The 13,325-nt window shown below is 45.6% G+C and overlaps 1 protein-coding gene across 10 annotated transcripts in view; it reads left to right on the top strand.

Moving 5' to 3' along the window:
• MYOF (myoferlin) overlaps nucleotides 1-13,325 on the top strand; it is a 175,906-nt gene that overhangs the window by 148,693 nt on the left and 13,888 nt on the right. For 9 of the 10 annotated variants that reach the window (XM_047425049.1, NM_133337.3, XM_005269694.6 and 6 more), the window contains 6 exons: nucleotides 330-421; nucleotides 3,808-3,978; nucleotides 4,731-4,879; nucleotides 7,677-7,816; nucleotides 10,284-10,372; nucleotides 10,469-10,564. In XM_047425049.1, the coding sequence (XP_047281005.1) occupies nucleotides 330-421; nucleotides 3,808-3,978; nucleotides 4,731-4,879; nucleotides 7,677-7,816; nucleotides 10,284-10,372; nucleotides 10,469-10,564 (737 nt within the window). Of the gene's footprint in view, nucleotides 1-329; nucleotides 422-3,807; nucleotides 3,979-4,730; nucleotides 4,880-7,676; nucleotides 7,817-9,074; nucleotides 9,751-10,283; nucleotides 10,373-10,468; nucleotides 10,565-13,325 lie in introns of those variants that run through there. The other variant, XM_017016070.3, reaches the window with a different exon arrangement.

Here is a 13,325-nt window from a genome sequence, read left to right as displayed (position 1 = left end):
CCATCAAAACAATGTATTCAGGAGGATTGTCCCCATGGGGATTTATCTAAGAGCTTGCGGGGGGCTTAAGGTCCCCTGGTTCATCCTTCTCATTTTACAGGTGTGAGCCAGGACTCCCCCCCGCCCCCTGCCACCACCCCTGCACCCACACAACTGGCTGCATGCCACCCAAAGGAGAGCATTGCTCCCTTGTCTTAGGCACGGGGTGCCATGGCGGCCACCTTGTCATCAGCTGGGAGTGGGTGTGGAGGCGAGCTGAGTCTGTCCCTGAACTTGACTTCACCTTGCGCCCTACAATGATGTAACATCCCGTCTATTTTGTCCCACAGTGTGACCCTTACATAAAAATAACACTGGGCAAAAAAGTCATTGAAGACCGAGATCACTACATTCCCAACACTCTCAACCCAGTCTTTGGCAGGTAATATACATTCTTAAATGTTTTTCTGGCCTTCATTTCTCCACGGAACATGCATGAAGACTCTAATATGTGTCCAACCCTGTCCTAGGCTCTGAAACTGTGTTTGTGAACTAGATAAACATTCTAGACAGGGGAGCAGGTAATAAATAGATAAACCCAAAATAAAAGAACTTCACAGAAGTGAAGAAGCTTGGTTCTGATAGCTTGCAGGGTAGACAGACAGCATTAGTACTAGTGTTATAGGAGCACAGGCCAGTTGGAGTTTTTCCGGGGACCCCCCTCCCACCTGGCTGTCTGCGGAGCTGTTTATATAAAACATCTCAAAAAAATCTCGCAACTCTGAGGTGCTATTATTATTCCTATTTTATTTTTTTTTAAGACAGAGTCTTGCTGTCACCCATGCTGGAGTGCAGTGGCGTGATCTCGGCTCACTGCAAGCTCCGCCTCCTGGGTTCACGCCATTCTCCTGCCTCAGCCTCCCGAGTAGCTGGGACTACAGGCAACTGCCACCACGCCCGGCTAATTTTTTTTGTATTTTTAGTAGAGACGGGGTTTCACCGTGTTAGCCAGGGTGGTCTCAATCTCCTGACCTTGTGATCTGCCCGCCTCGCCCTCCCAAAGTGCTGGGATTACAGGCGTGAGCCACCGCGACAGGCTGAGACTCAGTGTTTAATGTACTTAGCTTTTAAGAGAAGAGTGAGGGCCAGGCACGATGGCTCACACCTGTAATCCCAGCACTTAGGGAGGCCGAGGTTGGTGGATCACAAAGTCAGGAGTTCGAGACCAGCCTGGCCAACCTGGTGAAACCCCATCTCTACAAAATAACAAAAATTAGCTAGGCATGGTGGTGTGTACCTGTAATCCCAGCTACTCAGGAGGCTGAGGCTGGAGAATTGCTTGAACCTGGGAGGTGGAGGTTGCAGTGAGCTGAGATCGCGCCATTGCACTCCAGCCTGGGCGACAGAGCAAGACTCCGTCTCCCAAAAAAAAAAAATAAAAGAATGAGGATTTGAACTCAGACCATCTGACCCCAGTGTCTGTGTGGCACGCCACGGTCTGATTTCCATCTCCATGTCAAACTTATTAGCTGCTCAGGGCAGGGATTACCAACCCGACTGTACAGGTGCAGAAAACAGGGCTCCCAGAGCTCTATTAATAGAGGTGGGGTAAGTGATAGAGCCGAGATTTAGCTAGAAATTCTGCTGACTCCAAGCCCCATGCTTTTCCAACCGCCTTGGTGATGTTTCACATTTGTGGCAAAGCCATCACCTGTAGAAAAATGTTCTCTGTCTGAGACATTTGTGAAAATGATGTTTTGTTCTCAGAACCTTGCTGAGTGAGAGAATACTGTGTTCTTATTTGCTGCGTGGCATATATTTTTATTTCTGGCTTTATTATCTTGCCCATATGCTTCTTTCCTTCTCGGGTTTGTTGGTTTGTAGCCTTACGTATTCTTTCTCTGTCATGTGTCACACACACATACATGCACACACCTGCCCACCCCCCACCCCCCCTACGCCCCCCGCATGCTGCACACCCAAGGCCATGCACCCGGGCCAGGGAATGGAAGTAATCCTCTGGCACCGCAATATGATCGTTTTCCTTTTCTTCCACTGATCCAGCCCCGAGGTCTAGACAGGAAAAGGCACGCAGGGCAGGAAGGAGGGCTCCCGTGAGGGAGACAGGGAAGCAGGGAAAGCCAGCTTTGAAGGGAGAAAGGCAACCCTGTCTGAATTGCTCGTCTCAGAGGAGCCAGGCACAAGCTTAATTAAGTGGCAGGAAAAGTCTTGCTCGGAGGCACCCTGGAAGGAAGGGGTGCTGTAGGCTCTGCTCGGCCAATCGCTGTCTGGCGGATGGGCAGACTTCCCCTCATCCAGCAGGGTGGAGCCAAGGAGATGCCGGCTCTGCAGCCCCCAGATGGCTCCAGTCCATGGCCTCAGTCTTAGGGGGTAGCTTTCTTCTCCGCAGAGACTCTTGGGGACTCTGGAACAGGAATTCAGGAAGGAACAACCTTTCCTATGTGCGTGGCCGTTACTCAGAGTCCTATCCATCATGGCAGATCACCTTCAAAAGAATATCGGTGTCTTCCACAGGATATTAATTGATGTTCCAAGAAAAAAAAATATTCCTTAGTAAAACCAAGACACTTGGGTTTAAAAGTTATAATTGCAGGACTTCTCAGAACCTTTAGTTTGTCCAGAAGAACTGCAAAAGAAGTGGTTCTCAACCTTATTTGACTGAAGAATTCTTTCCAGAGACCACATATGATTTGCTTCTTGGAAGTTGGGATTGGAAATGTGATGTTTGGGGGCACATGTGGGTAAGGTGCTTCATGTGTCATGACTCAAGCACCTTTTCTCACATCTGTTTTCTGCTCAAATGGATCAACATTCCTGGCTCTTTGGGCAGGGACCAGTCCACACACCAGAGTGCAAGGAGAAGGGGAGGAGGCAGAGAGGAGGCCTCTCACAGCTTCTCCTTCAATAGAACATATTGAGCACCTTCTCCGGGACTGTCCCTCTGTGGATAGTGCAGATACAGAGCCCAAAGCCCACCCTCTAGCATACATCGCCCACCCACCACAGAAGCACTGTCTGACTCTTTCTCTTCATCTCAGGAGTGTTTGCATTTTCATATGGGTTCTATAGAAAAGCCTTAAAGAACTGGAGCCAAGGGCATACCCAGTGGGTCTGGGAGAAGAGGGGAGCCTTTGGGGCACCCTACATATCACACCCTATGGTGAATCACACTCACTCCCCTCCCCTGTGCTTCTGTGGGGTGAGTCAAAGATGTTCCATGGGGCAGTGGTCTCTATTGAGGCAGAGGAGGGAACCTAGGAGGGGCACAGGTAGGGGGCTATAAGTCAGGGTACTTGTGCCTTACTCATCTCTGAGCTGGGTGGAGGTGCTCTGGTGAACAGCTAATGGGCATGTGATGATAAAGTTAATAATATAATACATCATTATTATTATACTGGCATTGGAGCGATGCACTCATGTCAGATGCTCTCTAAATATTTCTTCACTTGACACTTATAGCGACACTGATGGGAGGGATTATTATCACCACTTTACAGATGAGAAAACTTAGCACAGAGAAGTAACTGGTCTAGAGTCCCACAGCTGGTAAGCAGCAGAGGTAGGATTTGAAGCTAGGCATTTAAAGCCCACAGGTTTCCCTGAGCAAGCATATGTTCTCTTCTTGTTCTTATTTCTAGTATGTACTATTTATCAAGCCACCCACCACCACCCACCCTGGTTATCCTGCTCAGATGTCCTCCAGCAGCCATACTACACACAGCCTGGGAATTCTGTGCACAGAGCCCCAGTTTTTGTGAGGTACTCAGATGGATCATGAAGATTCTGACCTTGCATTTGTTTATTTAGGATGTACGAACTGAGCTGCTACTTACCTCAAGAAAAAGACCTGAAAATTTCTGTCTATGATTATGACACCTTTACCCGGGATGAAAAAGTAGGAGAAACAATTATTGATCTGGAAAACCGATTCCTTTCCCGCTTTGGGTCCCACTGCGGCATACCAGAGGAGTACTGTGTGTAAGTTGCTTTGACTGTACAAGAGGCACTTTGCTGCCTCTGACATTGGCACCTGGGGAGGCCTAGGCCCTCTACCTTAGTGCCTTCCTTCACTGAGCCACTGCTCCTATCACTCAGGTATGGATTTCAATCGCAGGATTATTCTAGGGAATCTCCGGGCCACCTCATGGCCCCTATTCACATCACAGTGTGTGTAAAATGGTGGCAGCTGGAGCAGTGCTGTGCGCTGGGGAATGGCACAGTTAGCAGCCCAGAGACCAGTTCCCTTGCTCCCCGTCATTGAGCCCCTCCTGGATGTCAAGGACTGAGGACTGGCAACGTTTGATAGCAGGGATTTCCTGTCCTTGGGAAATAGGGATTCTTTGTGCCCTCTACTTAATTTTGTGACTCCCTCTTCCCCTGCCTGGTATACAGTGTCTTTCCACAGTATCTGATTAAGACATAGCTTGCAATTTCTAGTTTATGAGTTTGCCTATTATGACTAGAGTGATCTCAACTCCTCACTTTTATGGAGGAGGAAACTGAGGGCTAAATAATATTAAATAAATAAATACATTTGTTTCTCTGAGGCCAAAATAGCATATGGGTTTTTAGGACTCTGAAATAGATTTCTAGGCCAAAGTCAGAGTGTAGCGCAGATTTTCTGCACCCACTATATGGGAGCACCTAAGAGTACATGAGCATGTATGTGTGAATCTGAGAAGAACCTGCAGGCTCCTCCGTAACTCCGAGCCACGTGATGCTATTCACAGTTCTGGAGTCAATACCTGGCGAGATCAACTGAGACCAACACAGCTGCTTCAAAATGTCGCCAGATTCAAAGGCTTCCCACAACCCATCCTTTCCGAAGATGGGAGTAGAATCAGATATGGAGGACGAGACTACAGCTTGGATGAATTTGGTGAGCACCTAGCTGTGGATTGTAAACTGGTACAAAGTATAGTAACCCATATATATTGCTGGGTTTGGGGGAGTGAATAGACAGAGCCAGTACCCTAATTATACCACATGAGACTGTGCACGTGACACTAACAACAGCCACGTCAGAGTTCTGCTGTCTTGTCAAGTGTCAAAGTGGACACATTTTCTTGTCTGCTGTTTCACTTGCCCTTTTTAGATTATAGCCATTAGAGCTTTATACAAAGTACTAGTAATGAACTAATTTCCATGTAATGCATAATTAGCTAAAAAAATGCCCATACAGTAGTGCAGGAATTTCCCTTCCAGGTTTATCCCATCATTTGTTCTGTCCCTTCTCCCAGAAGCTTCAGGGATGTTATGGTTGGCTTGAAGAGCCTGCTATGTTCCCATTTGGCTCATGTTCAAGCTTGGGGTCTTGCTCTTTCCCAACCAGCAATTTATAATCCGACCTGTCCTGACGCATCAACAGCTAGCTACACTATGACAAAGACTGCAGTAAGCATCATAGAGCATGCGAACTGTGCTTCCATATTTTGCACGGGGGAGGGTTACCCAGAGGGGGCGGTGGCAAGGGCATGGGATATCCAGGGGGAGCTGAACAAACGTGCACAGGAAGAAAAGTGCTTTCTGCTCCTCAGCTTGATTCGTGACATTGTAAAAAACGATGTTTTGAGGCCGGGCACAGTGGCTCACACCTGTAATCTCAGCACTTTGGGAGGTCGAGTCGGGTGGATCATTTGAGGTCAGGAGTTCAAGACCAGCCTGACCAACATGGTGAAAGCCCAACTCTACTAAAAATACAAAAACAAACAAACAGAAGAGCCGGGTGTGGTGGCATGCACCTGTAATCCCAGCTACTCAGGAGGCTGAAGCATGAGAATCGCTTGAACCCAGGAGGCAGAGGTTGCAGTGAGCTGAGATCGTGCCTCTGTACCCCAGCCTGGGCGACAGAGTGAGATCCTGTCTCAAAAAACAAACAAACAAAAAAACTTATGTTTTGTCTTTCCATTTTAAAGAGGACTTGGTATCAGGGATGATTAGATGTTTAAGAAATGTTGATGCTGCTTCTAACGTGAACTTGCAAACAGGATTGGAAATAAATTGGGAAGCATCATGGTCTAATGGTTAAGGGTACCCCCAAACAATCAAACAACTCCCCCGTCATGGGGATTGTTCCAGTTACTATTGATATATAACAGATCACCCCAAACTTAGTAACTGAAAACAACCATTTTGTTTTCCTCACAGTTTTGCGGGGTCAGGAATTCAGGACGGGCTCAGGTGAACAGTTCTGGCCGAGGCTGGCCATGAGCTTGTGCCACAAGAGTATATACAGAATGCTCCCACTTACCGGATCTGGAGTTCTGGTCCCTTTGCTATTGGCAGTCCACAAGTTAGGTTTGAGCCTGGGTGGCTCATCTCCTGTGGTTGCAGTCAGATGTTGGCTGAGGCTGCAGTCATCTGAAAGCCCTGCTCGGGGGAGCAGTCAGGTGGTCCACACACACAGCTGGCAGTTGTGTTGGCTCTCGGCTGGGGCTGATGACCAGAGCACCTACACAGGCCTTTCCAGCAGGGGAGACTGCAGACCCAGGCTCCTTACATGTGGATGGTGTCCCCCAGAGTGAGGGTCCCCAGAAAACCAGGCAGGAGCTGTGTGGCCTTTTGTGTCTAAGCCTTGGAGTCACACAGCATCTTTTCTCCATACTCCAGTGTTTGACTACGTCTCCAGATTCAAAGGGAAATGACACAGACCCCACCTCTTCATGGGAGAAGTGTCAAGAGAATCTGGGGCCTATGTTTTTAGAATATCACAGTGGTGGCCAGATACAGTGGCTCACACCTGTAATCCCAGCACTTTGGGAGGCCGAGGAGGGCAGATCGCCTGAGCCCAGGAGTTCGACACCAGCCTGGCCAACATAGTGAAACCCTCTCTCTACTAAAAATACAAAAATTAGCTGCGTGTGGTGGCACATGCCTGTAATCCCAGCTACTCGGGAGGCTGAGGCACGAGAATCGCTTGAACCCAGGAGGCAGGGGTTGCAGTGAGCCGAGATCACGCCATTGCACTCCAGCCTGGATGACAGAGCGAGACTGTCTCAAAAAACATACAAAAAACCCAGAATACCAGTGATGCCAGCTGCTGTAAAAACTGAACCTCCAAATTTCCGTGTTCTAACACAAAAAAAGTTTATTTCTCATTGATTCTAAGTAGGTATTCCTCCAGGTGGGTAGCTGTCTTCCAAGCAGTGCTCCATGAACCCAGGTCCCTGCCGTCTTCTAGCTCTGCAGTTCTTAAGTGCAGGAGTCTGAGGCTGCTGTTCCTTTTTGCAGCCAGAAGAAAAAGGCACATAGAGACTCCTACCCAGGAGGGATTTATGGGCCAGGTCCGGAGGAGATACACATGTCACTTCTACCCATGTTACCCTCTGGCTGAACTTGGTCACATGGCCTCCTCTAACTGCAAGGGAGGCTGAGAAACAGGCAGGCCATGAGCTCGTGCCACAGAAGTAAATATATAACGCTCCCACTTACCCGTTCTGGTGTCCTGGCCCCTTTACTATTGGCAGTCCACAAGTTAGGCTTGAGCCTGGTTGGGACAGGGCTCCTGGTCAGAAGCTCTTTCTGTCAACTCTTCCTTCACAAGTCAAAGTTTGCATGTTGGCACTGCCTGTCCATTTTGGCAAAGTCTGGGATGAAGTGCTGGAAGCAGCTCTAGGCAATCTGGCTGAACTATTCCCAAATACTCATTCCTGCTTCAATGCTGCTTTCCATTGCAGAAGCCAACAAAATCCTGCACCAGCACCTCGGGGCCCCTGAAGAGCGGCTTGCTCTTCACATCCTCAGGACTCAGGGGCTGGTCCCTGAGCACGTGGAAACAAGGACTTTGCACAGCACCTTCCAGCCCAACATTTCCCAGGTAAAGGGCCTTCCCTCCCTTGAAGACCATTATCCCTGCCCCAAATGCAATGGCAGTAGTTGACATTTTTGCGCCTTTTATCTTCTTTGAATACTTTGAGATGCACAGAAATAGAAATGAGACTCAAATTAGCGTCATATCAAAAGGGAATTTTTTTGTAAGAATTTTCAGGTAACTCTCTAAATCTAGATAGGAGATTGGCCATGACTCAGAACAAACCAGAACCAGGGTCTCTCTGTGTCTCATCTGTTTCTCTGAGTCTATTTCATCTGCCCTCTTGCTGTGATCACCTTCCTATGAGTCCAGATATTACAGAGAGTCCTTGAGTGCTTGTGTGTTGTAATGCAGCCCCATCTACTTCTAAATGCATAGGGATTTGTTGCCCAAACTTGGCTCCTTTGCCCACCATGGGACCACTGAGCTCCAGCGAGGTGGGCAGGGTCTGGGAAAGTGATTGAGCTCGGCCCGGTTCAGGAGGTGCCATCTGAGACTACAGTATCAGGGAGGCGAGGACCATGTGGATAGCAATGGGGGACATTCCACTCCAGAAGATGGAGAGCAGTTTCCACAGAAGCAAAGCAAGACATGGCCACTGACAAAATAATCTATGTGGAAGCTTGTTATAATGAAGATGTCCAGGCCATGTCTGCAGAGATTTGGATCCAGTAGGTCTAGGGTGGGTCCAGGAATCTGAATTTTAACAAGTACCTGAAGAGGTTCTGATCACACTTTAAGAAATATTAATCTAGGCCGGGTGCGGTGGCTTATGCCTATAATCCCAACACTTTGGGAGGTCGAGGCAGGTGGATCACGAAGTCAGGAGTTCGAGACCAGCCTGGCCAAGATGGTGAAACCCTGTCTCTACTAAAAATACAAAAATTAGCTGGGCGCGGTGGTGGGTGCCTGTAACCCCAGCTACTCGGGAGGCTGAGGCAGGAGAATCACTTGAACCAGGGAGGTGGAGGTTGCAGTGAGTCGTGATCCCACCACTGCACTCTAGCCTGGGTGACAGAGCCAGACTCTGTCTCACAAAAAAAAAGAAAAAAAGAAATATTAATCTAATGGATGCAAATATTGTTGACCCTGACAGCAAAACTATGGACACGCTGATTGCAAAAGGGTTGGCCTGGGCTTTCTAGGTTGTTTTGTCACTTCCTTCTTGCTTTTATTTTGTTCTACATTTCCATTTCTTCCTTTTCTTACTCTTCCTTTCACCAAAGAACTTATTCCTCCTTCTTTCTCTCCTCTCACCCCTTAGCCATATGAGGAGTTTCAAGAAATGACAGAGTGAGGAAGATTTCTCCCCGGGAATCCACAAACCCCCATCACTTCTGCCTCCAGCATTAGCCACAGACTGTGGCTGGGTTTGGGGAGACACTGGACGCCTAATATTCTGTAGAGTGCTTGATGAATTGTAGAGCCCTGAGCCCTAGAGATTAGTTGCAGGAGAGTCAGGATCATAGTAAAATACATCCTTTTCAAGAGCTCCACTTAATGTATTTTGATCACAATGCATTAGGAAGCCAATCTAGTGGTTTCCTTGGCAACTTTCTTGAAGATCAGTTTGTTTTTGTCTGAAGACAGAGTCTACAGAACACTCAAAAACAGTTTGAAGAATATAAATTGGTTTGTACGGTTGATATAGTTTTTTCGTGGCATTCCTGACCTGTCTGGAAGAACATTCGAGTCAGATGGATGGGCCAAGTCTGTGTCAGTCAAAGAGCTGAGCAGGACCTCACCAAGATGGAGCACAAATGTCAGTCTAGGCTTTCACCTCCCCTTCCTGCTAGCCACTTACCTGGTGGTGGGCACTAATGAACCAATGGCCAGGAATCCTTACCTTTTGGGAACTGTAATATTATCATTGTTTGAGCTCCTCTTTTGAAAATGCCATGTTGTTTTTCTTTTACAAAATTAAATACCATTTTCACTAATTGCATTCATTACTTTGATTTTATATTTTGAGGTAAGTAGAGAAACCCTTGGGTATGGCAAAATGGGGATTGGTGTCAGGTGGGCAATGTGATGGATAGAATGACAGCCTGAGAACTGCTAAAGGCGAAGGACCCAATTTTAAGTCATTGTAAGAGGGGGGATGTGCGCGCACGCGCGTGTGTGTGTGTGTGCACGTGCGTGTGCCTGCCTGTGGGATGTGTATGTTGGGGTTGGGTTAGTGATGGGAAGTCTGCAGTTTTATTAACCAGGCGAGACCCAGACTATGATACAGGTGGGCATGTGCAGCCGTCAGAGACCCCTGAGTGAGAATGGAAAGTGGGTGGCCTAAATGACATTGTACATAAAAGATTAACCTTGGTTTGCTCTCTTCCACTTCTTGCCTTCCATGTGGACTAATAAATTAGAGAGACCAAAGAAAGAAATAGTTTCATCTAAGAAATATGAAAGAAAATTGTGACTTCTGCTACCCATCATATAACTTCAGTCCTCTTTTCATTTTCAAATGGTTTAGGGAAAACTTCAGATGTGGGTGGATGTTTTCCCCAAGAGTTTGGGGCCACCAGGCCCTCCTTTCAACATCACACCCCGGAAAGCCAAGAAGTAAGTCAGTCATCCTGAGACCCTGATACATACACTGGGCTGGGGACTTGGTCCAGGACCAGAAAAAAAAGTACCTTCCAACTGTGCTTCTTGCAGATACTACCTGCGTGTGATCATCTGGAACACCAAGGACGTTATCTTGGACGAGAAAAGCATCACAGGAGAGGAAATGAGTGACATCTACGTCAAAGGGTAAGGTTAGCATGTGAGAGACTTTGCCAAGCTCAGGGAAACAGACTCTCTCCTTCGTGAGTTTTCATTACTGAATATGCCCAAGATAGGATTCTTGGTTTTTTGAGGTTATTTTATCTCATTAATGTGATCTACTTAGGTAGCTCCTGGAAAGCAAAGGAGAGAGAGCAAGACCTGTACAGACTTTGTTTATGAGGAAAGCTATATAAGGATTATAAGAACTGATAAATATTTCTTTGTTTCCTTTTTGACAAAATGGATTTTCTTCAGTTTCTTAAGCAGATGTATTATTTCTGGGACGTTTTAGCCATGTAGTTTCTTTTTATTCCTCTTTGATACCCTGAATAACTAGCCTTAGAAACACAAGTAAAGCTCCCAAAATTTCATTTTCTACATATTTTATTACCAGCAGCCCATGTCTATGGAAAAGAGGAAATGTTCGCAGATTTCAAAGGAAGTAATTTATTCTCCCAACCTGCACTGAGTGCCAGCATCCAACATGTCAAGTGTCATTGTTGTTCAATATTCTCTTACTTGCCTAATTCAATTAAATCGTCTCTGTGGATGGCTATGCCTTGATCATATGCCTCGATCATAGATGTTGCGTGCAGTACAGCATAGCGACTACATTCTGGTGCTTTCCCTACTGTCTGGGCAAGGTAGTTAGCTCGCTGTTCCTCATCTGTAAAATGGTGATAATGATTATTCTTCCTTCCCAGGGATATTCAGGTGATCCAGTTATCCAAAGCATTTAGGACAGTGCCTGGCACATAGTATTGTTGCTATTCCACGTGGACTGAGTTTGATTCCTTGATACATGAAAGATAAGACTTGCGACATTTAATATATTCATAAAGTGAGAACAAAGTTTCACCTATAATCCCATGTGGCCTTCAATCAAAACTTTGTTAAAGATATAATTAGTATCATTTAGGTTCACTATAAACAGGGAATGTTTCATCAAGTTCTTCATTATTATTTTTGGATCTCATTACCATTCTCTAGGGAAACTAATCTCAGCTAATTATATATATGCAAATTTATTTGACTATCATAAGCATTATTTTTTTTTTTTTCAAATCAGGGAAACAAACTCAAGTAATTCTGAACGGAGAGAAAACTCCTCTAATCAGAGAATAAAGCTCAACTTAAAGTACCTTGCAAAATTTGGAATAAAAATCTAAATACGACATGTGAAAAGATGAATCGTGCATAAATACCATGCCTAGTGCTAGACACAGCTGGGTATTATATTACATACCAAGCTATACATATACATACATGCACACAAATACGTATACCTATAGGAGCTGTTTGACTTGTCTTAAAGTATGAAAAGATTTATGTTTAAAATTAAATGTGAAAATTCACCAAAAAAAGAGAGGAAGAGCTGTAAGGGTGAGCAGTCTAGGGTAGGATGATGGTGACCCTTAGGGGTGGGTCAGGAGGTGAGGCCACCAAGGTCATGGCCAAGAGAATGTGAACTCTCCTCAGTGAGTTACCTTAAAAGTTAATAGTCAAAACTGGGCATGGTGGCTTACGCCTGCAGTCTCAGCTACTCAGAAGTCTGAGGCAGGAGGATCACTTGAGCCCCGTAGTTTGAAGTCCAGGCTGGGCAGCATAGTGAGAACCTGGCTCTTGTAAAAAAAAAAAAAAAAAAAAAAAGGTTAATAGTCAAAAGGAATCTTTCAACTCATTTATCTAGTCAGTTAATTGACTAGCAAAAAGGAAAACTACTGCAGTTGATTGGTATTAATACCACTACTAATAGTAGGACTTAATATTTTCAAGTGACTTTGCAATCTCTGTGGTTCTTTGAGGCAGAGTAACAGATGTGGACTTCGCAATCAGACTGACCTGGGAATCCTACTTAGTTCTGTCAGTTCTGGGCTATGTGACCTTGTGCAAGTTAATATATTCTCTCTGAACCTCAGTTTCCTCTTCCACAAAATGGAGATAGTTACGCAGTTGTTGGGAAGAATAAAATAATGCATGTAAAGTACCTGGTTCATAGAAGATGATAACTGTGTGTTAAAGGTACCTCCATTCCCACTCTGCCCCTGCTAAACCATAATCTTTTCTGTCTGCGTGTCGACCATGTGAAGGGCGCACATATCATTAATCTTATTTTACAGATGCGAGATGAGGCTCAGAGAGTTTTTCCAGCCAGGCCTGCCTCCTACCATGAATCTCTATCTATCTGTGGGGTCCAGGCATCAATATTTTTAAAACGTCCCCAGTCGATTCTAATGTGATTCTAATGTGCAGTTTCGAGAAAACCATGCGCTCTCTATTGCTTTGACAGTGTAAAATCGAATGTTACCCCCTGGTTTCAAACTAGAAGTCTTCCCAGTAGCAACAACTTCTTTCTGGGCACACTCATTCATTCATTCATTCCTTCAGTAGGTATTTATCTAGTGTCTACTATGTGCCAGGCACAAGCAGAAGAAAACTTCTCAAACGTTAAAAGTTAAGATGTTACTGAAATGAATGCTCATAGATATGCATGTGGAAATAAGAGCTGACATCTTCCTTGCCGGTATCATTAATATTATCATAGTGAATTTAAGAATAATTTATAAAAAGGAAGCTGTAAGATTACTTGATTTGTGCTTCTTTGGTTTGCTTAAGTAAAATATGGGAAAGGAAATGCTAAAATTTTGAGCTAACTCATATTCATTTAACCTATCAGCAGTGCTGAAAGACACTGATGAGTTATAGTTGTGAGGACTAAAGTCATAGCCAGCAGGCTTCATTGTAC

Source organism: Homo sapiens, chromosome 10 (genome assembly GCF_000001405.40).
Source record: "Homo sapiens chromosome 10, GRCh38.p14 Primary Assembly".
Taxonomy (NCBI): domain Eukaryota; kingdom Metazoa; phylum Chordata; class Mammalia; order Primates; family Hominidae; genus Homo; species Homo sapiens.
Note: the sequence above shows the minus strand (reverse complement) of the source record. Positions and strands in the feature narration are given on the sequence as shown.